The sequence below is a fragment of the Homo sapiens genome, chromosome 10 (assembly GCF_000001405.40).
Source record: "Homo sapiens chromosome 10, GRCh38.p14 Primary Assembly".
NCBI classification, from domain to species: Eukaryota; Metazoa; Chordata; class Mammalia; order Primates; family Hominidae; genus Homo; species Homo sapiens.
The window spans coordinates 5,358,981-5,385,687 of record NC_000010.11 but is presented as its reverse complement, the minus strand read 5'-3'; the positions used below and the strand labels follow the sequence as shown (position 1 = coordinate 5,385,687).

The window sequence follows — 26,707 nt, the reverse complement described above, 5'->3', positions numbered from 1 at the left end:
CCATAAACATCTAGAGACTACGAATATCTAACTTTCTGGGAATGCAGCCCAGCAAGTCCCAGCCTCATTTTCTAGCCCTCACTCAAGATGGAGTCGCTCTGGTTTGAACACCTCTGACACAACTTTCCAAAGAGGTACAGGAACTTATGTCCTATCTTGAGGCCACAGTAAAGAGGGCAGACTCGGAGCAGGGCCAGAAACAGGTTATGTTGGTCAATGAAGTTGAGTGGCAAGACTGTTGATGAGAGGGAGAGAGGAAGAGGCTTGGCTAGCACAGGTGGCCTTGTTATGTAGATGAAGTCTCCCTCAGAGAGAATAGATAGTAAATGCTTCTTTTAGACTTTCAAGGGTCAGAATCCCAACCTCTCCTGGATCTGGGTAAGATAAAGGAAGTGGGGTGGGGTTATGGCTGCATTCATAGAGATCCTCTACAGATGCAAAATTTCCCCCCAAAAGCCCCAACTTTGCAAGGCCACTTCCATTTGCTGGCCTAGTGGCAGTCATTTTAAAAAAAAATGTTAAATGGCTGGATGCAGTGTTTCACACCTGTAATCCCAGCACTTTGGGAGGCCGAGGCGGGTGGATCATGAGGTCAGGAGTTCAAGACCAGCCTGGCCAAGATGGTGAGACCCCTCCGTCTCTACTAAAAATACAAAAAAATTAGCCGGGCATGGTAGTGGGCATCTGTAATCCCAGCGACTTGGGAGGCTGAGGCAGGATAATTGCTTGAACCCAGGAGACGGAGGTTGCAGTGAGCCAAGGTCATGCCACTGCACTCCAGCCTAGGCGACAGAGCAAGACTCCGTTTCAAAAAAAAAAAAAAAAGTTAAATATTTTGGGGTAAAATATTTTAATTTCCTGCAGATGTAATTCCTACTTTAGAGCCCAGTTCTATTGTTACCTGCTCCATGAAACTTCCAGAATCTTCCTCCTTGTGTCCTCTCTGAGCTCCCAGAGCACCTGTCTGCTCCACCCCAGGGTTTATGGACAGTGGAGACACACCATGAAATGTCTCACTGCATTGAAAATTTGTAGTAAGTACTCACTGATGAAAAAAATGTTTAATGTGTATGTCCTACGTAGTGCCTTACATTTTTATTAGGCTTTTACTAAGTATTTAACATTTATTGGCCAGGTGCAGTGGCTCATGCCTATAATCCCAGCATTTTGGGAGGCCAAGGAGAGAGGATCACTTGATCCCAGGAATTCGAGACCAGCCTGGGCAACATAGTGAGACCCTGTCTCTGCTTAAAAAAAAAAAAAAAATTAGCCAGGCGTGGCATGCAACTTTGGTCCCAACTATTTGGGAGGATGAGGTGGGAGGACCACACGAGCCCAGGATGTTGAGGCTGCAGTGAGCCGTGATTGCACCACTGTGCTACAGCCTGAGCAACAAAACAAGACTGTCTCAAAGAAATAAAGTAAAATAAAATAAAATTTATTCTTCAACGTACATGTGTTGTTTCTCTGTTCAGCCACTGGAGGGCACTAGTGAAGTCCTTAAATAACTGATCCACTGTTGAGATGAGTTTTTCATGCTCTAGAGGTTGTGTGTGTGTGTGTGTGTGTGTGTGTGTGTGTGTGTGTGTGTGTGTGTGTGTGTGTACATGAGTACTGACGCATCGAGAAAAATACTATTTATAGATTTTCTTTTGTTTTTAAAAGTTAATAATCTACTAAAGATAATAACCACAGTCTTTCTTAAGGTTTTGCATTCAGCTTGTGAATCTTATTATTCATAAGCCTAGAAAATTTGTATAATCACTTTTAAAGGGAATACACATGAATTTTGGGTCTCTTTTACAGTCTTAGATAAATGCTCTTAAATATTTTAGGTTGCCTATAAATTTAATATATTCTATTTTCTTTTGAGGGTTTTGACAAACTTTCCCAAGTACTGTAAATAATTCTTTAAAAATCTAATAAATTAAACTATACCTATGGTAATTAAGTACTCTTCACTGTTCTAAAGCTGTCTACAAGTGATTAAGATTTGTACTTAAGATCACAAGTGTAAATTTATTGACAACATTTACACTTCTAAAATTGGAATTACATGGCTGACTACGATTGTATTAGGCCAAACACTCTTAAATATTATAAACGCTGTATTTGAAATGCCAAGTTGGCACAGCTTCCTTATCACAGCAGCTTCAGTACATCCTTATTTAATGGATTCACTTACAATTATTTATTGAGCACCCATCACGTGCTCGTCACAGTTCCAGACATGGGGGACACAGCATTGAACAAAACAGAAGAAACCCCAGTCCTCATGGAGTTTATGTTGTAGTGAAAGACAATAAACACTATAAGGTAGTAAATTATACCACAGGTTAAAAGATGGCAGGTGCTCTTGGGGAAAAGTAGAGGACACTAAGAGGGAATGGATTGCAGCTTCAAAAAAGTGGGCATTGTAGCCTCCAAAGAAAGCAGCTTTGACAAGGACTTCAAGGGAGTGACAAGGGAGGCAGCAGATATTTGAGGAGAGAACATTACTAGTAAGAGGAACTATTAGAGGAGTTCAAACCAGACCGACTCCATCCTGAGTGAGCGCTAGGAAAATGAGGCTGGGACTTGCTGGGCTGACTCCCAGAAAGTTGGGTATTCCTGGCCTCAAGATGTTTATGGTTAAGGGAACAGATTGATAACATTTACTAAACAGACTCAGACTTGGGAGTGTCCTGATGTCCTGATATCTTGAGAACAGAAGCATGCCTAAGTTTGCTTTAAATATAATAATATTGATTCTTGCAAAAAATAGTAATTAAGAAAATTAATCCTTTATCACAAACCCTTGTAGCAGGGGACATCCCCCCAATCTTCTTTTGTCCTATATATAAACTAGCATTGTACCTAGGGGGGACAGGTTCCTCCTCTTACTTTCGGGACCATCCTACTCTGTCTATGGAGTAGTTGCTCTTTCAATTCCTTTGCTTTGGCCCTTGGACTTGCCCTGGGTTCTTTTCTGCATGAGATCCAAGAACTCTCTATTGGGGTCTGAATCAGGATCCCTTTCTGGTAACAGAACCAGCAATGAAGATTTAGAAGGGGGAGCCACGGAGGGAGAAGGAAAGCAGTGGAGTGTCCTGGAAGCCCAGTTGGAAAAAAGTCTATCCAGGAGGAGGTCATGGTCGTGGTCCCATGTGTTACAGGATACTCCTAAGTCATGTGAGTGAGGGCTGGGGCTTGGGTGCTGGATTTAGGCTGACCTTGAAGAGAGGGTTCAGTGGAATGATAGGGATGCAAGCCGGATTAATGGGGGTTGAATGGAGAGAGAAAGAAGAGAGTATAGAGAAATTGTCAGAGCGTTGCTGTAAAAGAAGGCAGAGTAACGTGCTACTCTCTGGAAGAGGCGATAAGTCAAGAGTTGTTGGCTGGGTGCGGTGGCTCACACCTGTCATCCCAGCACTTTGGGAGGTGGATGCGTGAAGATTGCTTGAGCCCAGGAGTTTGAGACCAGCCTGAGCAACATAGTGGGACCCTGTCTCCATTTTTATTTTTTAAAAAGTATTGTTTCTAGCATTGGAGAAAGAAAAATGGGTTTGCTTGCTAGTGTGAATGATGCAGAGGGGGAGGTGGCATCAAAGATGTGGGAGGAAGACAGAAAGGTTGTTGGATCCATGTCTTAAGTGGGTGAGAGGGGATGGGAACTTAGAGTGTGACACAGAGGTTGTCCCTACACAGATGCACGGACAATTCAACTAACTCAATAGGAAGGAAGGCAGAGTGTGTGAGTACAGGTGCTCTCCGGGCGAAGACACGGTGGTGAGGTTTCTGTGAAATCGTGCTTCTGAAACACCCCATTTTCTTAATGAAAAGGGAGTAAAGTCAGCAGCTGAGGTTGGAAAGGGAAGGATATACTAGAGGTCTGCGGAGAGAAGAAAATGAGTGAAAGTCTAAGAAGTAGGGGCAGGAGTGGTGAAGGAAGCGTGGTGTAAACGCTGGGCCATCTGAAGAGCCCATCTGAGGAGTCCAGTGAGGATTCTAAGGAGAGATCAGTCTGTGTGTGTGTGTGTGTGTGTGTGTGTGTGTGTGTTGTGTGTATGGTGTGGTATGTGTATGTCTGTGATATATGTGGATGTGTGGTATGTGTGTGTGGTGTGTGTGGTGTGTGGTGTGTGTGGTGTGTGTGTGTGGTGTGGTGTGTGTGGTGTGTGGTTGGTGTGTGGTGTGTGTGTGGGGTGTGTGTGTGGTGGGTGTGTGTGGTGTGTGTGGGGTGTGTGGGGTGTGTGGTGTGTATGCGTGGGGTGTGTGTGTGGTGTGTGTGGTGTGTGTGTGGGGTGTGTGGTGTGTGGTGTGTGTGTGTGGTGTGTGTGGGGTGTGTGTGGGGTGTGTGTGGGGTGTGTGGTGTGTGTGGGGTGTGTGGTGTGGTGTGTGGTGTGTGTGGTGTGTGTGGGGTGTGTGGTGTAGTGTGTGCGTGGGGGGTGTGTGTGTGGTGTGGGGGGTGTGTGTGTGTGGTGTGTGGTGTGTTGTGTGTTGTGTGCATGTGTGTGGTGTGTGTGTGTGGGTTTTAAGCTGTGTTAAGCTTCAGGGTTCAAGGGCAGAATAATGGCGTGTTTGAATGAATAAAACAAGGCAAATGTGGAACGAGGGAATCTCAGGTGTGCACAGTGAGGGATGATAAAATCCACTCTGGCATTTAGACGGGCAAGGAGGGAAGAGAGGTCGGGACGTGGCGGGAGGGATGGTGGATGGTGAAAAGGTAGCAGGATCCGTGGATTATTGGCTTCGGGGAGGTTGGGAGATGGTTGGAGTTGCTGTCCTAGGAAGGGTGAGCTGGAAAGACAGGACATGGTGGTCAGAAAGTTTGTGACTTGTAATGACAAAGTCATGGGAGCGAGTGGTGAGGCAGGAGGCAGGTCAGGGTCATGGGAGTGGAAATGTTTAAGGAGCTGAGAGGCCAGGTGTGGGAGAGGTCATCTACACGTGTACTGAGATTACCACAGATTAAGACAGGAGCCCCGTGAGCGAGATTGACGAGCCAAGAGCTAAAGTGACAGAGACATGAGGTGCTGTGGGAGACCGAGGTGGGTGGAGACATGAGGTGCTGTGGGAGACCGAGGTGGGTGGAGACATGAGGTGCTGTGGGAGACCGAGGTGGGTGGAGACATGAGGTGCTGTGGGAGACCGAGGTGGGTGGATCACTTGAGCCCAGGAGCTCAAGACCAGCCTGGGCAACATGGCAAGACCTCGTCTCTACAAAAAATAGAAAAATTAGCCAGGTGTGGTGGTACACGCTCGAAGTCCCAGCTACTTGGGAGGCTGAGGTGGGAGAATCGCTTGAGCCTGGGAAGGTTTAGGCTGCACTGAGCTGTGATCACGCTGCTGCATTCCAGCCTGCATGACACAGCAAGACCCTGTCTCAAAATAAAATAGAATAAAATAAAAAAGAAATGAGGTGGACTGACCCAGGTGTTGGTAGGTGATAAAAACAATGGCAGGTGGGGAGATTCAATCTGATGACTTGAGGTTCACACTGGGGAATGATAGCTGAGGCAGGAAGGAGAGAGAATATTAAATATGCTTTCCCTTGAAGAAAACAATATGTCATCCTGTAGCTTTGGGGTTACCTTACAAAGATATATGTTTTGTCTCTTGCTTTCTTAGCTTGCTGAGGCTTCTTAATGATATTGACCAGGATCTGACTGCTTTTGGCAACTCTAATGGAGTCCCAGCAATCATCTATCACAAGAGCTTCATTCACTAAAGAATGAAGTGGTCCCTAGCCCACTCAGATTTGAGTCATGTTATTATCTAATTTTCAAGTCAGATTACATCTGTAATTCTTATGAAGTTAGCTAGCTGCATCATTTGATTAGATTTTATATTCCTTAGGCTCTTGCCATATGTAAATGTCTTTTTAGTTTAATATTAACTACTGTTGAACTTGTGTATTTCATATTTCTTGAAATTATTTAAAAAGTCTGATCAAATGCTGGGTATTTCTCAGCTTTCCCTATTTGGTTACAGCTTCCAAAATTATTGTACTGTTATGAAGCAGGAACCTTTGTTTGTTGTTGATATTTGTTTTCAGGATTCCTTGTTAGATAGAACATCTAGAGACCATGATATGGTTTGGCTCTGTGTCCCCACCCAAATCTCACCTTGAATTGTAATAATCCCCATGTGTCAAGGGTGGGACCAGGGGGAGGTAATTGAATCATGGGGGCAGATTCCGCCATGCTGCTCTTGTGGTAGTGAATAAGTCTCAGGAGATCTGATGGTTTTATAAATGTGAGTTTCCCTACGCAAGCTCTCTTGCCTGCCACCATGTAAGATGTGCCTTTGCTCCACATTCACCTCCTGCCATGATTGTGAGGCGTCCTCAGCCATGCGGAACTGTGTCAATTAACCACCTTTCTTTTATAAATTACCCAGTCTCAGGTATGTCTTTATTAGCAGTGTGAGAACAGACTAATACAGCCCATATCATCCATTCATGTGTCTTGCCTCTTTGGAGATTTACGTGCCTATTGATCCTCATTTTATTCGTAACAGAGACCTTAAACTAATTTTTAAGGGAGTTTGAACCAAAGTAAGTAATCTGACTGGGATTGTGTTTAGAATTTTCACTTACAGAAACTCATTTTTGTTCCCCAAAAAAGCACTTCCAAATTTTGTATTATGTTTCTTTTCTTTTTATTATTTATTTATTTATTTGTTTTTCTGAGATGGAGTTTTGCTCTGTCACCCAGGCTGGAGTGCAGTGGCGCAATCTCGGCCCACTGCAACCTCCGCCTCCTGGGATCAAGCAATTCTCCTGCCTCAGCCTCCTGAATAGCTGAGATTACAGGCACCTGCCCCCACGCCTGGCTAATTTTTGTATTTTCAGTAGAGACAGGGTTTCACCATGTTGGCCAGGCTGGTCTCGAACTCCTGGCCTCAAGTGATCCACCCACCTCAGCCTCCCAAAGTGCTCGGATTACAGATGTGAGTCACTGTGCCCAGCCTATTTTTTTTAATGAGCCTAATATGTCTTTATTTTCATTCTTTATTTTTATTACATACTTTTCTCTCTTCAATGGTGCAAACTCCTTTCCTGTCTGTGATTACTGGGTGCTTCCGTGTTTTTATTTTTATTTTTTAAAACTACTTTTAAAATATATATGGAGATGGGGTCCTACTATGTTGCCCAGGCTGGACTCTAACTCCTGGACTCAAGCGATCCTCCTGCCTCAGCCTCCCAAAGTGCTGGGATTACGGGTGTGAGCCACCATGCCTGGCTGCTTTAGTGTTTTGTTCGCACGCAATATCTGACTGATTCTTGACAAGGAAAAATCACCATCCCCTTTGATATCATTTATCCAAGTATTTCTACTCACAAAGCAAAACATTATTACCACCATTATTTTACTGTTACTTTACTTTAGTTAATTAATTAACTAATTTTTTTTTTTAAGGCAGAGTCTTTCTCTGTTGCCCATGCTGGAGTGCAGTGGTGCAGTCTCTGCTTACTGCAACCTACATCTCCCAGGTTCAAGCGATTCTTGTGCCTCAGCCTCCTGAGTAGCTGGGATTACAGGCATGTGCCACCATGCCTGGCTAATTTTTTGTATTTTTAGTAGAGACAGGGTTTTGTTGGCCAGGCTGGTCTCGAACTCCTGGCCTCAAGTGATCCACCTGCCTCGGTCTCCCAAAGTGCTGGGATTTCAGGTGTGAGCCACTGTGCCCAGCCTACCATTATTTTAAAATTTCTGTTGGCTTTAGAGGGAAGTCTTCAGGGCAAACATAGTCACAGTCCCTCATAAATAATTCTTTGGGGAAGTCCTCTAACTTTTGCAAGATAAATTAATCTGTTTTTAGTTTTTAATTTGAAAAAATATTTATTACACACAATATGTTAATCGAATTCAGTTCTATTAGCTTTTTCCCTCTGCCGTTCTTTTCTAGACAGTTTCTAGTGTGTCCATATATTACAGTTGCAGCGCAGAGGATCAGGTGTGGTTCTCGGATATATTCCTCAAACAGAATCAGATAGAGCCTACGTGTACAGAGCATATCTGAGAGCTTTGTGCGTTGCCACATTCGTCAGTAGTTTCCTCTGCAAAAGGCAGTCACGTCTAGCTGAAAAACCTAAGCAGTCCTCTTCAGACCTCAAATGATGTAGGACCTGTGTGGTCATTAGCAGACAGCAACGGAGTCGCTTAGAGACAGAGACGCTGGGTAATAACTGGGCCCACTCACTAAATAAATAACTTATTATAACTTATTCATGCACATCTGCCTTGCAGAGTAATTCAAAATTGTGTTTCAGAAAAATGACAAATTATTATACTCAGGAAAGTTCCAAACACAGTATTAAGTTCCGTGTACTCAGCCGGGTGCGGTGGCTCACTCCTGTAGTCCAGGCACTTTGGGGGGCTGAGGTGGGAGGATCGCTTGAGCCCAGGAGTTTGAAACCAGCCTGGGCAATACAGGGAACCTCTACTCTACAAAAATGAAAATAAAAATAAATTAGCCAGGTGTGGTGGTGCATGCCTGTGGTCTCAGCTACTTGGGAGGCTGAGGTGAGAGGATCACTTGGGCCTGGGAAGTTTAAGGCTGCAGTGAGCTGTGACCTAGCCACTCTCCTCCAGCCTGGGCCACAAAGCAAGACCCTGTCTCAAAACCAAAACCAAAACCAAAAAACCCTATGTAGTGGAACCTCACTAATTACCGGGGTTTGCCATGTTCTACAAAATTCTCTTTAGCCACAGCAGCTTGCTGTGAAATTGGATCGTTTGATTCTTACTGCTGGTGAAGCTATTCCGTTTCTCTATCCTTCCCTGACAGAGGAGGAGGGAGGGGCGTCAGAGAATTTCTTCCTTTTATGATAATAGGATCAATATTAGTTCTCCTTTCCCCCCAAAATGTGTGGTAGACTGAAACCTGGGGGGCAGATAAAGGTGGTGGAGATCTTTGGATGTGGTTGTCTCTACCTTCCACCTGTTGTTGATGTCATCGTGAACAGATGCTTAGAAGCACTGCTTGCTCCCAAATGAAGCTCTGATTCTGCAGGAGCTCAAACACAGCGGGATGCTGGACTTGCAGGCCGGTAGCTGTCCAGCAGGAAAGCTGTGCTTTCCCAGCTGCGGTGGGTGGGTTCCAGTTTTGGCCAACTCTCCCTAGTTCATTAACCATCAGAGCCTTACAGATGACACTTATGCTCATCACAGCATCATCTGTAAGGCTCTGAAAGCATTCCAAATACCAGACCCAACTGCTGGGGACAGAAAAGTCACAACCCCAATCTCTGAGCGGTGCTTTTTTGTGCATAGTTAATCTGAGCCTTGGGATAGCCCTGTGAGGCAGGGGTGGCTGGTGTTTCATGCCCTTTGTGTCAATGAAAGGTCAGCCCTTTGTGGAGGAAGGAGAGGGTTTATGACCAAATCTGATTCTTTCACTTAATAGCACAGAGACTTTGGACAAGTTCTCTGGGCCACAGTCTCCATCTTTATAAGGTAAAATATAATAACCTTGAGATATAATTGTGGCAATTAAGTGAGATGATGCTGGTGCAGCCCTTGCCATGATTTCTGGTGCATCAGCGTCTCTGGAAGTTAGAGAATTTGCTCCTGGACACACGATATGAAGAACTTAGTCATGGGTGTTCTGGGGCTCGGGACAGGATGTTTTCTGCTCTACCATGTGGTTTTTCCAGGGTGGAAACTGCTGTTGCATTTTCACTTTGTTGGAGGATAGGTCCAGTTAAGAGATGAGGACTTTTAATTTCAATCTTGACTTTTTTAACATTTAAATGTTAGCTTTTTTCGGTAAGATAATGTCTGAGAGAAGCAGGATTTCTGGATTAAAGGAAAAATGAATTTGTGATTGTAATAAGAATTGACAAATTGTCTCTCTAGGGCTCTACCCCCTCCCAAAACCAGGAATGGAGGAAAGTGGCCATCAACCTTGCCAAATGGAGTGTACTGCCACACTTACAGACTTTTGCAATGAGATGGGTAAGAAGTTGTATGTCAGTGCAGCTGTTATGAATGAAACTGAGCATCTTTTCATGTATCCGAGAGCCATCTGTAATTTTTGTGTGTGTATATGTGTGTGTGATGTATTCGTGTCCTTGCTTATTTTTCTTCTGGGTTAGTTCTTGTTCTTTTCAATTTTGAGTAGCTGTTTGTATATTTGATCAATCATCCATGTGTCTTTTATATGAGTGGCAAACATTTTTTCAACTCTATCATTCATTTTTCTTTTGACTTTGCCTCTGTTGGTGGTGGTGGTGTTAGTTGTTGGTGTGTGTGTATTTGTGTGTGTGTGTCTGCGTTGTTTTACCATGCACAAATTTGTTTTATTTACTGCTGATTTCTTACCACGCAGAAGTGAGTGGGACCACAGCCCCTCTTTTGGGAATCTGGCCTGGGCTTTGCTGCCAGGAGGCCATCAGAGCTGCTGCTGATGTTCATTTTGACGGGAACTTTGCTCATATTGAAGGTTCTCCTCTCTGCACTCCTCATATTTATATTTTTACGCTAATTGCTCTCACTTTGCAGTTCATCATCTATATGCTCCATGGCGGTGTTTGCTTCTTTTTAAGTTCTGGCTTTGTCCATCCACTGAGGTCATTGGCTGGGGGAGTGCAGAGGCCTGGCCTGGACATCAGTGTTGGCCGCAATACCCAGCTTAGCACAGGGAACTTACTGTGGGTTCAGTGCGAAAGCCATGGAGGGCTAGCGGTCCCCAGGCCCTACAAGCCATGGAGGAGTTTGAGATGTTTCAAGGGGCTAACTGAAAGCTCCCTCCTCCTTTTAGCCATGACATCCACTCTGAAACAGTTCCCAGGTTGTGTCTCTTGGTGGGACCGGGTCCCAGGGACGGGTCTAGACCGAATGACTCTTAAGTTCTCCTTTACCCCTGCTAAGGTCTCCCAGACCCATTTCCCCCCGAGAGAGAATGGGAATTGGCTCCCCAGGACCCTCCCTCATCCTCTTCCCTGTCCCAAGCTCAGAGTTTGAAGGCAGTGGGGCTGAAGGAAGAGGAACTGAGACAAGCCAGGAGTTGAAGAAGCCATTGTTTTAATGGGGTGAGGAGGTAGGGAAGGATTCGGTGGCAGGAAGGCGAGTGCTGCAGCTCCTCTTTCTGCCCTGGAAGAAGTTGATGTGTGGGAGAGGAGCCCTGAACGCTCTCTTCTCAGGCATGGGGTCAACAGAGAGAAGACTGGAGAGGAGGAATGCATGAACTTTGCCTCTTGCTGTGGGGAGGGAGGAAGGAGACGCTGAGTACAGGGAGGAACGTTAGCTGCTTTGTGTCTGGGAAGGTTGGACAATACTGCACTTCTGTGTGTACAGACAGAGCAGGAGGGAGACAGGGTCAAAGGCCAGAAGAGATCAGAGGGGCTCAGCAGTGCAGCAACCTGTAAAACTGACTGATCCCACAAAACACAAACCAGCAGACAGCACCCTCCCCCTCCCCTCCCCCCCTCGCCCTCCCCTCCCCCTCCCCTCCCCCTCCCCACCCCGCTGCCCTCCCGTCCAGCCTCCGCCTCTACTTCTTCCTCCCAATTTGCGCCATCAGGTGGGCATTGGCGGCCGCCTGGGCACGCAGGTTCTTGGCCTTGGCGATGTTGAAGAGGAGGTTCATGATGTTGGTGGGGACGTCGAGGGACAGGGTGAACTTGGTGCGGTGGGGACTCTTGGCCGTGTCCTGGCGTGGCTTTCCCCTGGGCTGTGCTTGGGACACGTATCTGTACCGGGTGCCTCTGGCTCCACCCCTGGCCCCAGAGATGGGGAAAGTCTTTTTCTCTTTGCCCTCCTCCTCCTCTCCCGAAGAGGCGTCTCTGCTGCGCAGGTAGTGGAAGCTCCTCTTGCTCAGCAGGGATGCATCCTCCCACTGGCCCTTCTCAGCCTCAGACAGGGCGGTGTTGAGGCAGCTGAAGATGGGCTTGGCTTTGTAGAACTTGTGGGGGAGGCCTGTCCTGGGGCCCCCCAGGAGCAGCAGCAGGAGCAGCAGGAAGTGGACCGGCATCAGCATCTCTCCCTGCAGCAGAAAAGAGGGATGTGGGCAGGGGCATGGGAGGGGCGTGGTGCTCTGGAGGACCTGGATTAAAATCTACTAGGGTGTTGTTAATGTTCCACTACAAGGGTTCTCCAAGTATGACCCCCAGACCAGCAGCATCAGCCCGGGCTGGGACTTTGTTAGAAATGCAAATAATTCTCAGGTCTTTTTCCAGAACGAGTAAATCAAAAGCTCTGGGGCCCAGCTGCCTGTGTTCTAACAAACCCTGCAGATGATCCCAGTGATCACTGAAGTGTGAGAACCATGACCTCATTAGTATTTATGGGTTTTATTTAATTCAGCTTTGCAGGCAGCCTCTGCCCCTGTAAAGCGAATAACTAATATACTAAGTAAGCACCTAGCAGCCTACCATAGTTGATTTTAATGGTAAGTGAATTTTATGTTCCTTCATCATTGGCAAGGCTGACTGAATATATCCCTGTTGCTTAAAGACCATGGCTGGGCGTCTAGTCAATGTTTCTAAGTCAGATCTTTAAGGCTGGTTTCTCGCTAGGCTATCCTAGTTTCTTGAGAACAATCAGATTTGTTATTAATAACTAGGTTGGTTTTACTGTAGACTTTATGATTTATGAAGCCAAAGTCAGCTTGGTCTTTTTGTCAGACCAAGTATCATCCAGGGAGCACCAACGTCCTCCAACCGCAGGACCTCAATGCCAACACTGTCTATGATCTCTAAGATGTGTGGGATCCTGGTTATCAGTCAGACTGAGTCAGGGTGATTGTCCAGGGCAAGAAGGAAACACTGAGAGCTCGGAAAGGATGCTAGTCTCTAGGGACCCATTGAATCCATTCTTTTATTTAAAAAAAGAAAAATAAAAACTGGCCAGGCACGGTGGCTCACACCTGTAATCCCAGCACTGTGGGATGCCGAGGTGGGAGGATTGTTTGAACCCAGGAGTTCAAGAGCAGTTTGGGCAACATAGTAAGACCTCATCTCTACAAAAAAAAAAAAAAAAAAATTAGCTGGGCGTGGTGGTGTGCACCTGCATTCCCAGGTACTCAGGAGGCTGAGGCAGGAGGATTGCTCGAGCTCCAGAGGTCGAGGCTACAGTGAACTGTGATTGTGCCACTGCCTCCATCCTGGGCAACAGAGCAAAACCTAGTTTCAAAAAAAGAAAAGAAAAAAACCCTAAGCATTAGCATATGGACTGTTGTGGCAATACAAACGTCCGACTCGATGACCCTCATGTTCCTTGGACTGTTCAGGCTTTAAGCGTCATAGACTCTTGCTGGTTCACTGATCAACAGTGTCAAACAAGACATCAAACTGCCATCCCCATCAGGGGAGAAGGGCTTGTGCTGAGCCACCTGCACCCTCCCGCCGGGCTCCTTCACAGTAGCAGCATCAGCTGTGCCAGAGGCCGTCAGAGTTCAGGTTGCCCATGGCCACTGTCCCTGAGGATATTGTGAAGTGGGCAGAGTTGACTTCCTGTGCCCTGAGATCAAACCCACCATTCTGCAGTCAGTCCTTTTTGCCTGGTCTGCGGGCACACACTCTCCCCAGCCCTGTAATAAGGACATCACGTTTATTTATTCATTGTTGTCCTTCATCATGCACAAGGATGAAACAGTGAGGGGCACATGTCCGGAGTGTTATCTAAACACCTAGAGAAAGCACGGCTGCCGTCTGCGGGCCCCGCTCACACCCCGACATGCCTGTTCTCTCATTGCGGTGTGAGGATGAACCATCCCCTGGGCTATCCTGTGAGATAGAAGCAGTGAAAGGCTCTGCTATTTACATTTGAGGGCTTTTCCTGAACTCGAAGTTCACTTTATTACCGAAGACATACTTGGCTTTCACAAAAGCAAGCAAGAAACATGTGGTTCACTATCAACTTGGGAGAATCCTTTTCTTACGTTAGTTTTTCAAAATAAATAAGAACAATTGGGTAAGTAAATCACCTGGTGATTCGCCTGGGCCTTCAGCAGCGTGAGGCTGGCATTGGGTCATTTTGTTCCTTGCGGTGACAGTGCAGAGCAGGGCCAGGCAGGGCTGGCAGTCGGTGCTCAAGCTCCAGTCTCTGCTCTGCAGCTCCTCATCAGTGTGGCCTTGACGAGGCCATTTCCCACACATGAGTGCAGTGGACCCAACCCAAGCCCAACCAGACAGCCTTAGGCTGTGAGCGATGGACAGAACCAGCGCTGACCCTTAGCAAAGGGAGCCTGGGTCTCTTTCTAAAGGAGGATCCTGTAAGTCCCCGCTGCTTCACTTACCCTGGAAACAGACACACACACAGGACGCACAGGAACATAGACAAGCACACATACAAACAGGTACACATACACATACACATGCACCCACATACAGATACACACATATATACATGCACACATGTGCATATACACACCTTACACGTACATACACATACATATAGACACATGCACACACATATATACATGCACATACACGCACACACACCTCACACATACATATAGACATGCATATTTATACATGCACACATATGCACACATACACACCTCACACGTACACATATGCACATACATACACATGCACACACATATACATGCACACATATGCACACACATACATACCTCACATGTACATGCATACACACAACCATACACATGCACACACATACACACCTCACACGTACATACATACACACACATACATATAGACACATGCACACACGTATATATATGCACACATATGCACACACATACATACCTCACATGTACATACATACACACACACACACCTTACACACATACACATGAACACACATATACACACGCATATACACACGCATATACACACGCATATACACACGCATATACACACACATACACACGCACACACACGCGCACACACACGCGCACACACACGCGCGCACACACACGCACACACACATATACACACGCATACACACACACACGCATATACACACGCATATACACACACATCATATACACACACATATACACACGCATATACACACACATCATATACACACACATATACACACATACACACACACATACACACACATACACACACATACACACACATATACACACACATACACACGCATATACACGCATATACACACGCATACACACACACATATACACACATATACACGCATATACACACACATATACACACATATACACGCATATACACACACACATACACACACATATACACACGCATATACACACACATACACACATATACACACGCATATACACACATATACACACACACATACACACGCATATACACACGCATATACACACACACATATACACACACATATACACACGCATATACACGCATATACACACGCATATACACACACATATACACACGCATATACACACGCATATACACACACATACACGCATATACACACGCATACACACACGCATATACACACGCATATACACACGCATATACACACGCATACACACACGCATACACACACGCACATACACACACATACACACGCATATACACACGCATATACACACGCATATACACACACATATACACACACATATACACACGCATACACACACATACACACACATACACACACATATACACACGCATATACACACGCATATACACACGCATATACACACATATACACACACATACACACGCATATACACACGCATATACACACACATATACACACACATACACACACACATACACACATATACACACGCATATACACACGCATATACACACACATATACACACACATACACACACACACATACACACACATATACACACACACATATACACACACACATATACACACACATATACACACACACCCACGTGGATAAATGTTTACCCAGCACATTTCCTGTCAAAGCCTGTTCCTTCCCTTGGTTCTCCACATTGCAGCTGTTGCCTTTCTTTCCTTTAATTTTTTTGTCTAAGAAATCAGGTTTTGCTTTGTTTGTTCCATTTATTTTGCATTACAAAAATTTTGAGAGCTTATTTTATGCACTAATATTTTTCATAATTTATGAGAAAACACATGATCCTCGCTTTAAATAGTCCAAACCTATGAACTAGCCAGATCTGGGCATGTTGCCTGGCGAAGTGAGAACAACACAGGCTTTGGAGTTAGACACAGGCTCGAATTCCTTCTTCGTCCTTATTTCCTTATTTGCCTGAGGGTTTGGGCCGATAACCTCTGTGAATTTCAATTTCCTTCTCTGATAAATGGGATGGCAATAACCACCTCATGAAGGTTAAGTGAAGGATTCGATGAGAAACGTCAATGTGTGTATGAAAGCTCCTTGTCTGAGCAGATGCTCAATCAAGGCTGACCCACACCTGAATAATCTCCAGGTCTTCTTAGGAGAAGATCTGGTCTGCACACAACCTTTTCAGAAGTGCATTTTACACACACAGTTGTGTATACACAATACACATATGTACAGAGAGACCAGGAAATCTGAGCAAGCATTTGATCCTGCAGAGCAATGTCCTTGTTGTATCGTATCTCTGGCTTGTAGCTTTTGGCTCCATGCTACCCTCTCCACCCTGACCTGTGCAGACTCCTTTTGCCCTTAGTCTAAGTAAGCGGTTCTCAACTTTCAGGTGCTTTGGACTCATGTGAAGGCGCGGTTCAAACACAGCCTGCGGGGCCCCGTCCCAAGAGTTTCTGAGTCACTGGGTCTGGATGCTCCTGAGAACATGCATTTCTAGCACAGTCCCACGTGATGCTGATGCTGAGGTCTGAGGGCCACACTCTGAGAACCGCTGCTCTGCGTGCTCTGACCCGACTCTGGACTCCTTAGAGCTGTACCCCGGAGTTCCAGGGGTGCACTAACCGTCCCTGTGGAAAATGGGCTTTTCTTTCCTTAAATGTTGCATTCAATAGGCAGACCTTCAGCTTTCTCATTTACAGAGGACCTAATGAGTTGTTTTTCATAAATAGAGTATGAAGCATGGTTTTAGCTGCCTTATACCTTGAAGGCATCTTAAAGCTTGGAAATTATTTCGAATGGCTTGCTAACCCTGAAAGGGTTTAAAAAAACAAAAACCAATTTGGAAAGGTTAATACTGGGGGGAAAGTGGTGGAGAAACTTTGTCTCTCTGTCCCTTTCTTCCTTCATCCCTTTTTTCCTTTCACTACCAGACTCAGTCCTGTCCCTCCCACTCACTAGCTCATGCCTAACCGCCCAGGACCTCACTATTTTCCTCTGTGAGAGCAGGGGATTGAGTTCGAGAATCTTTGTTCTGATTTCTTTCTTTTTCTACTTCTGAAAGCCAGAGGTCCCTCTACGAAAAGCACTGGGAGAATGAAATGAGTTCTTGATTTTCACCAAATGAAAGGCGCCTGGACTCTGGGTGGGTGTAAGCTAAAATAGAGGGTGCTGGCCGGACTGGGTGGCTCACACCTGTAATCCCAGCACTTTGGGGGGCCGAGGCAGGTGGATCACCTGAGGTCAGGAGTTTGAGACCAGCCTGGCCAACATAGTGAAACCCTGTCTCTACTAAAAATACAAAAATTAGCCAGGCGTGGTGGCACACGCCTGTAATCCCAGCTACCCAGAAGGCTGAGGCAGGAGAATTGCTTGAGCCTGGGAGGTGGAGGTTGCAGTGAGCCAAGATCATGCTACTGCACTCCATCCTGGGTGAAAGAGTGAGACTCTGTCTCAAAAAAATAAATAAATTAAAAAAATTAGAGGGTGCTGAGATGCAACCCTGGAGCTACCCTCAGGCCTCCCTCTGTGGGTTCCACATGGCTCTCTCCCCACTGCCCCACCACCCCATTTGTTTATTTTGCTTCCTCACTCAAACCCTGCACCCCAGCCCAGGGAACCCCTCCCTGCTCCTTTCTATTTCCTTCCCGGGGCAGCATTCTGCATTTACCCTCAAGCACTTAGAACTTTGCAGAATAATTGCAAATATTACTGAGAACTCAGACTACTTTCTGAGTTCAAGCCCATCTTGGGGCTCTGCTCACACGGACTGGCCCTTTAGTGTAAATCAACACTTGAGTTTACCTGTCTATCTCCACCCCTTAAAGACACTTTGGGTGTTATATTTCTTTGGTGTCTCCATTTCTGCTAAATATGCCAAGCCTTTCACTATCCCTCTGGGTCATTTGGCTCTCAGCAGTGACTCAGGATGCTTGGAAAAGCCTGACATGGCCAATAGTGCCTTATACTAAATCATATTCTCAATCAATATTTGTTGAATGAATTGAAATTCAGATTAGTATTCAGGCACTTAATTAAATCAATTTATTTTCCAAAGCAAAACAACCTCTTTTAAATTCTTTCATGGATGTACATTCTCTCTGCAAATCATGTTGTTACGTATCACAGAGGAAAAAATCTTTTATATGGCATACTTTTTTGGTTTTGTTTTTTAATTATGAAATCATACATGTGTACCTAGAGTCACTTGAAAGATGAGGGCTTCTGAACATGAAACAGCCTCGTCTAAGTAACTTTCTGCAATTTTCCTGTGAAAAAGTTCAGGTTTTCCCTTGCAATGGGCTAGCCTCTGGATGTGTTCCCTGGAAGTGCTACCTGTCTCATCTCAGTTACAAAAGCAAGGCATTGGGGAGAGGGAGTGAGATCCCTTTTACCTCTATATTTACTTTTTCACATTTTTGGGGTCAATTTGTAAATACTGTGCCTTTTAAAAAATGCATTACCTTCTTATTTTTCAAATCCCAAGTCTACCATCAGAGAAGAATACTGTAATCACGGCTAGGGTGCTGAAGGTGTGGAAAAATCTGTGAAAGTGTCAGGGAGCAAGTGTCCTGCGTGGCGCTCTGTTCTTGGTGCATCTGCAGGTAGCAGACCTTTCTCTCTCTGCAAACCCTCAGCTCTAGCCTGCACACGGTTGTGAGGGTATTGAAAGGTGTCCCCTTACCATCAGCAATGATGCAAAGTTACACAGCAAAGGAACCTCCCAGAACTGTGAATTGGACATGATAGGGACGCCCGGTGCTGAGCTTAGTTTTAGATCGTTTAAAATGTAAGGGTTCTTTGCAACCCTGGATGGTTTCACCATCAAAGTGTGTGAGTGGCTGGGGGCTGGAAGGTAGATTCAGATTTCTTTCCAGGACTTTTCTTTTTAGGATCTGTTTAGATTTGTTTAGGGTTTATAGGATAAAAGAAAAGGAACTCTCCCCAAAGAAGAAAAGATACTCTGTACTTCCCACATAAAGTCTAATTTTGCAAGTTTCTCCTTTTACATTCCTTGGACTCTTCTGCCATATTCTTGGTGAAACAGCACAAAAGTTTAAGATTTCTCTGCAGTCTGCCACGAAAATAACTGGGCACCATCTAGTTATTAATACATTTGAGGGGCAAAGCTCTACACCTGTATTTTTCTCTGGGTGCCTGAAACTCAACCATTCCTTTGGGCTATGGTGACAGTAGCACTTGTCGAGGATGCTGTAAAGAGACACAGTTACTTCTGGGAGCTGTGGCAGAGCCAAGCACTGAAACGTGAGGGACCTGGGTCAGCCTCCAATTCCCAGCACCTCACAGGGAGAGGACAGGACATGAAGCAGCAAAGGCAGGAGGCAAACAGTACTGATCACACATCTCTGCCAAGTGCAGAGCTATTCCTGTGGGCTCCGTTTGTCTGCAAACACTGATAAGAAGTTAAACTGAAACTAGACCACTTAAAACGTTTTAAAAATCTCACATTTGTTATTTTTGGTAGGTGGCTATGCTTGGGAAAGAAATTGCGAACAGGAATTTTCAGAAAACATAAACATCAAACATCCATCTCCCCTTCACAGGTAGGAGTTAGCCATTGTAGGTATCTGCACACACCCCCGCAATGTTCCTAGTGTGGCAAAGGGCTCTGGGCTTTGGTGGCAGAGGACCTGGCTGGGGAAACTCCCTTGCCTCTGACTTTTCTTGGGTGAATCCCTTAACCTGCATTTCACTTGCCGCGTCCTAGGAAGGAGACGTTACCTGCTTCACAGGTGTGCCCGAGAGTGACGGGAGATGGCACAGGTGAAGGTTTGTGGCACAGGTAAACAGTAAGTGCAGGTGTCCTCGCTGCTTTGCAGGCGGCGTGGAGTCATGTCCTGTGGCTCCCATTAGCCCCGGCATCCCTACCCCATCCCCATTTGTAAACTGTCTCCGAGGACTGACTTTCCTGTGCACAGCTGTGCTCTGTTCAGAGAAAACAGATTTGTGTGAACACCTTCTGCCTCTGATCTAACACCTTTGGAAAGAGGGTCTCTCTATACCAACGTGGGAATGTGATTGTGCCTCCCTGAGAAACTTCCCCTGGTCCCTTTGGGGCTGATTTCTGCTGATTGGGTGGGGGGCGTTCAGCATCGCTCCCTTGGGCTTCCACCCAGGGGCGCTAGCAGCTCTCATCTCTCACACCTGTCTAGTGCATGGCACCTCCTGCTTAAATTAGGGCAGATACATTTACCCTTCATAAGTCAGTCCCAGCCACAAGCTTACCCGAGAGTGGACTTCCCTCCGCAGCGAAACGCTCAGGGAGGCCGGCGCAGCTTCAGGGCCAGGAGGGCGGCCCCGTGCACGTCCCCATGAACTTGTGGCTGCTCCGGGGTCTCGGCTCCTGCTTCTCCGGTATTGTTCCTAAGTGGGCTGTGATATTCCCTCTCTATGGAAACGGTCCCCTCCCCTGTGTGTATATAAAAGTGACAGATCACAGGGTGGATCGTAATTCCAGACGTGGTGTCTACGCTGGGATGAGATTTCATTTAAAATACAACCAGAACCAGCCGTCCACGTCATGCAGACGACAGGTGCTCCAACCTCGACCCCTCCCACCTCTGCTTCCCACCCCGCCCTTCTACCCCCCAACTCCTTTTGCATCCTAGCAACTTGCTTCATTGATAAAAGCAAAGAACAAAAAAGAAAAAGAAGAAATAAAAACTCAAAACAAAACAAAACAAAAATCCTGGTAAAGTGAGAAGCAGTGTCTTTGAAGAATTTTATTGCTGATCTTAGTTCTAACTAATTTCAGTTTCCCCCACATTCCCCTTGCCCTAACTCTCCTTCTGTAAATGTAGAGCCTGGACCTGCTTTGAAAGCAGAGAAGGGGTTTAAAATCCACCTGTTGCCGTGTTGTTTTGTGGGTTCTGACCGTGCAGCGTCATCTGGCCGCACACGTAGCCCCTTGTGCTTGTCACACACTCGGTGCCTACTCCCCACATAAAGTCTAATTATGCAAGTTTCTCCTTTCACATTCCTTGGGCTCTTCTGCCGTACCCTCAGTGAAACAACACGAAAGTTTAAGATTTCTCTGCAGCCTGCCGCGAAAATGACTGAGCACCATCTATTTGTTAATACGTTTGAGGGGAAAGCTCTACACCTGCATTTTTCTCTGGATACCTGAAACTCAACCATTCCTTTGGGCTATGACAGCAGGTCATCATACACCAGAGGTCTGGAGGTTTTAGTGGGAAATGGCTTGGATTTTACTCGTTTATGCATCCTATATTTATTGAGGACTTACTGTGTACCAGGTATTGCCAAGACACCCACGAGTTCAGAGATAAGTAAGTTGTGGCCCCTAACCATACAGGGCCTCATGGTTTAGAAAGGTAGGGAAGGCTGGGTGCGGTGGCTTATGCCAGTAATCCCAGCACTGTGGGAGGCCGAGGCGGGCAGATCACGAGGTCAGGAGTTCAAGACTAGCCTGGCCAACATGGTGAAACCCCGGCTCTACTAAGAATACAAAAAAAATTAGCCGGGCATGGTGGCGAGTGCCTGTAATTCCAACTACTCAGGAGGCCAAGGCAAGAGAATCACTTGAACCTGGGAGGTGGGGGTTGCAGTGAGCTGAGATGGCGCCATTGCACTCCAGCCTGGGCAACAGAGTGAGACTCCATCTCAAAAGAAAGAAAGAAAGAAAGGTAGGTAAAAAATGCTACAGAAGAGAGCAGTCCTGTCTACTCAAGACAGGAGAGGAGAGCAGGAGGGGTTTCAGACAGAAAGGATGGATCAGCATGGACTGAGCCAGGGCTGAGAGGAACGGGAGAGAAGGAGGACGATGGGAGGGAGGTGTTGGTGGGTGCAGAGGCTGCTCTGCACTAAGGTGCTCCAAAGGCCTGCGGAGTTGGGAGTTTATTCCATATGTAATGGGGAGATGTGGGAGACTACGGTCTGTTGACCCCTTATTCACAGATGAGGAAGCTGAGGCTGTAAAAAGTGACCTGCTGGGACCCCACAGGCCCAGGGTGACAGAGTCAGGTGAGAACCAGGCCTGACGCTGGGCTCAGTGCTCCTTTCACTGGGCTGAGCTGATGACAAGGGGCCCTGCAAGACCGGCTGGCTGTCCCTAGCCCTCCTCCCAGACGGCTGCTCCACTCTCGTGAATTCCTGCAGGTGAAGAGGTAAGAGGTCTTCTGAAATTACCAAAACTCTTTAAAGCCCATGAGCATTTGGAGGAACAAATGGAAAGCTGTTGTGGGGAAGGACTTCAAGACTCTGTACTCCCCATTTTAAGTCTCTTTATGGAGATAGGAAATTGGACCTCCCTCTCTTCCTTCTTTCAGAGCTGCCTGGGCTAGGATCCTCTTGAGATTGGAGGCAACATGAAACTGAATCTGTGTTTCAATTCAAATTCATTACTTCATTCATTCATTCATTAGTTCATTCATTCATTCATTCATTAGTTCATTCCTTCATTAGTTCCTTCATTCATTCATTTGTTCTAGTTTTTGTGAGGTTTTTGTTCTGCTTTCCATTTCAGATAATGATGCAGTAATGGAATTTATGCAGGTTGAGGGGTAGATTTCCACCTGAGTTTAACTCTCCTGTCTGCCTTATGGGCTCTGAGATGCCAGGGATCTGGCAACGTTGGTCTCCCAGGGCAGGGTTTCCCATCCTCAGCACTGTTGACATTTTGGGTGAGGTAATTCCTTGTTGGCCTTGGGGTCTGCCCTGAGCTCTGGAGGAATTTAGCAGCATCCTGGGCATCTACCCATTAGATGCCAGTAGCACTCCCCTCTTTGTCTGTGACCATCAAAAATGTTTCCAGACATGTCCTCTGGGGGCATGAGGACCACTTCCCTACAGTATGGGGTTTAGAAAGAGAGACGATGAACCCTGGCTTCTTTTCTTACCTTGTTTCCTCTGAACTTCCTAGAAATCCTCCTACCCTGAGGCCACCTCGCTGGGACTGAAGGGTCTTGGTGTTGGTGGCTGTTCTTGGAGCCTGCCGTCCCTTCGTCACACAGAGCAGGCTCATCGGCTCCCACTGGTCCATCCTGGGTGGGCTTTGGCATTGTCCAGTGACTTCTGCTAGCCTGGATGGAGTTCCACACAGAATGTTTCATGGACATGAGCAGCTGTAAGGGTGCAGTCCAGGGTGTAGTTTTCTAGAAATGTCAAGAAATAGTACATTTGCTTTACAACTTGAATGACGCATCTGGTGGGGGACTGAACAGAGGCTTGGGCAGCAAGAAGATGATGAGTAGCAAAACCTCTGGAGTGTCATTTCTAGCAAACAACGATTTCCCTCCCTCCCCATGGCTGATGTGTGAATGTGGCGTGTTTCTACACTTGCACTTCTCTCTGGCCTTTGTGAGTCATTGGTATCTTCCGTGGACTCAGCATGAGCATGTTGTTCAGGGATGTAAATGTCCTGTAGAGGGTACAAAGAGGGCCAGGGTGAGAAGAAAAAGCTGATCAGCTTCTCAGGTGAATAGAAATGGCTCATATTTATAAAGCTCATTTCTCCAAAGTGCTCAAAGCACTTACACTTAATAACATAATTATTTCCTCAACATCTGAGCATGGCGGTAAAATAAAGATAGACGAGAGAATTAGCAAAGTGTGAGAGAGCTTGACTTATAGGAGAGAAGTTTTACTGAGGAGCCGGGAAGGTCCGTTTTCATTTCTGCCTGGGTTGCTAGCATGGCTGTTTGATTCTCACAGACACCCACATTCCCTAGTCCTCTGTCTCCTGTATTTTAAAATGTAGATTGCTGTGCCTTCCCTGTTTGTTTTTAGCAAGGTTGATGTCAAGATAGTATTGCAATAACTTGATAAAGTTGTATGTGAACACAGAATATTAGCATCATCTTTCTTCTTCAGTTCTCCCTTATTTTCTCTGACTGATTTTTTGTTCGTGATTTCTCACTTTTAGCAGGGTGTGTGTTTACCTCCTGTTGTGTTTGTGGATTGTCAATTTTTGTCTTGTAAGTCTGTCTATTTCTGTTTTATATATTTGGAGTGTTTGGCATATATAAATTCTTCATGTTATCATCTTGCTGTTAACCTCTTCATCCTAAATAATACTTCTCATAAAGTTTGCTTTGCCTGATATCAAAATAGCTATCCCAGCTTTCCGTTGGATAACTTTTGCTTGCTGTATTTTTCCAGTCTTTTCTGTTTCAGAATTACTTTGTAAATGGTATATATTTAAATTTTAAAAATTAAATCTAACAATCTTTGTGTTTTAACCAAGGACTTTAATAAACTAATGTAAAGATACTTGACTCCTGATGTATTGAATTATTTTCTACCATCCATCTTACATTGTGATTTCTATTTGCACAGTTTTATCCCCCTTTTCTTCCATTTATTATTGTTTTTTCTTTTCTGCCATCTGCTGTATTGATGAAGTCTTCATTTTCATTTTCCCTGTATTTTACAATCTAACCATCTAAAGCTATTTAATATATAACTTTTCTTCTAAGCATTGGTTTAGCCACATGCCACAAGTTTTAATGGGTTGTATTTTCATTGTCATTCAGTTCAAATATTTTTAAATGTTTTTCTGTGATGAAGGGTAGCCAACTATGTGACTCCAAAATATACCATATGGCATAAGGATTATTTTGAGCTGACGACAGTTTAGGAAAAGCAGATACTATTGATAGAAAAGCTCTTACCCTTCCCATATTTGCCAAGGCAGGACATGCATTTGTAAAGGTGTCTGCCCTTCTCTCTACCAGGAAGAACAGACCTAATCCCCTGAGACAACCTAGAGTTTTATTAGCCGGGAGGAGCCAGAGAAATCTACCTAACAAACCTTACTCACTAGCCCTTATCTTTCATTAGTTTCCTCGTATATTTACCTTCCTGCAATTTGCCTCCCCTAAAAACTCAAAGTATTTTATCTTGTCTTGTCACTTCTCTAAACATTTATTGCTCTGTTGCTAAGATGCTCTAGAATCCCAAGTTCTAACCACCCTCAGAGTTCCTCATCCCTGAGTTATCCTGCGGGCGTGCAGGATGCACCGGCCAACAAACTTGTGTTTGTTTTTCTCTTGTTAGTCTGTCTTCTGTCAATCTAATTTACAGGGCCCCAGCTAGGAGGGTGGAGAGAAGCCAGGAGAGTAGAGGGAAAAATTTTTTTCACTTTTCCCTTTGTAAATCTGGTGACGATACATTATCTTAGTTTTCTTTTATCTGACAATGTCTTTACTTCCTTTTTACCATTGGAGAATAAGTTTTCTGGGTATGGAATTCTGGATTAGCAGAGCTTTCTCTTTTCTTTTGGCATTATAAATACATTGTTTCCTCATCTCCTCCATTCCATTTCTGATGAGTATATAGTCATTCAATTTTTTCCCTGCATCTAATATATCATTTTTCTCTGGTTGCTTCAAAATTTTCTCTTTCTCTTTGACTTTCAGCAGTTTGGATATAATGGGCCTTGGTATGGACAAATTTATTATGTCTAGAGTCTGCTAAGGTTTTTAAACTTGTGAATGTCCTCGTTCACCAAATTTGGGAGGTTAACTACCATTTTTTATTCAAATGTTTTTCTGCCCCAATTTGTATCTCCTCTTTTTCTGGGACTCCAGTTATCAACATGTTGGCTGTTCTGAAATTGTCCCACTAGCCTCCGAGGCTCTGTTAATTTTTATCTGTCTCTTTTTTCCCTTCTTCTTCTGATTGGATTATTTCTATTGTTCTACTTTCAGGTTCACTGAATCTTTTCTGTGATCTCCGTTTGCCATTATATTAAGCCTGATTATTTTTATTTCAGATGTAATATTTTTCAATTCTAAAATTTTATTTTAAAAAATATTTTCTATTTATTTGCTAATATTTTATATCATTTCCCTCATTAAGAACATGTACTTTACCCCACTGAGCATAGTTAACATTGCCGTTTGTCTGATAGTTCCAACAGCTGGGTCCTCTTGGATTTGGCATCTGTTGAATGTATTTTCCCTTAAATCTGGGTCACATTTTCTTGGCTTTCCATACCCTGAAAAATTTTGGATTCTCTCCTGGGCATTTTAAATGTTAGGTGGTTAGAGATTCTGCCTCTGTTCTATTGGTCTTAAGAGTGTTGATGATTCTGTTCTAGCAGAATTTCACCGCCAAACTGCAAACCGTCGTGGCTCTGCTTTTAATTTATCTCACATGGATATATTTCAGGTGTCCGCCAGAGGTTTGGGCTAATTTTGTACACAGAATCTAGGCTTCTACTTCTCTGGGTCTCTTCTCTCTGGAATTTTCCCTTTACTCCGCAGGAATCCTGTTTTTCGATCCTGTTTTTCCCTGGCTCCTCAGGCCGGAGAGACAATGGGCTACCGGTGGGGTTTTTTTTTTTTTTTTTTTAGAACAAACATTTTACTATTAAAATAAACTTTTGTATAAAAGCATTACAGATCAAAAGCTGTATTTGCGCTTACTGATTCAAGGTCCAATACAGTGGGGTTTTAGCTGCTTTGCACTACTGCCTCCATCATGGCCCCAAGTGTAGCCACCCTCGGGGCCA

At 45.1% G+C, this 26,707-nt stretch overlaps 1 protein-coding gene across 1 annotated transcript, besides 1 other annotated feature; it reads right to left on the bottom strand.

Moving 5' to 3' along the window:
* Positions 1 to 619: an enhancer, noted in NCBI's record as "OCT4-NANOG hESC enhancer chr10:5427032-5427650 (GRCh37/hg19 assembly coordinates)". NCBI's record gives its function as "activates a minimal SCP1, AML or CMV promoter by ChIP-STARR-seq in naive H9 embryonic stem cells {active_cell/tissue: H9 hESC(naive)}" and the evidence as "EXISTENCE:reporter gene assay evidence [ECO:0000049][PMID:30033119]".
* UCN3 (urocortin 3) lies at positions 10,996 to 20,722 on the bottom strand. Its single transcript, NM_053049.4, has 2 exons — positions 20,458 to 20,722; positions 10,996 to 11,973 (listed from the first exon to the last, which is right to left on the bottom strand). Exon 2 carries the CDS (start codon positions 11,965 to 11,967, stop codon positions 11,482 to 11,484), a length of 486 nt encoding a protein of 161 aa, NP_444277.2. The 5' UTR covers positions 11,968 to 11,973; positions 20,458 to 20,722; the 3' UTR covers positions 10,996 to 11,481.
* Positions 20,723 to 26,707: the final 5,985 nt, after the last annotated feature.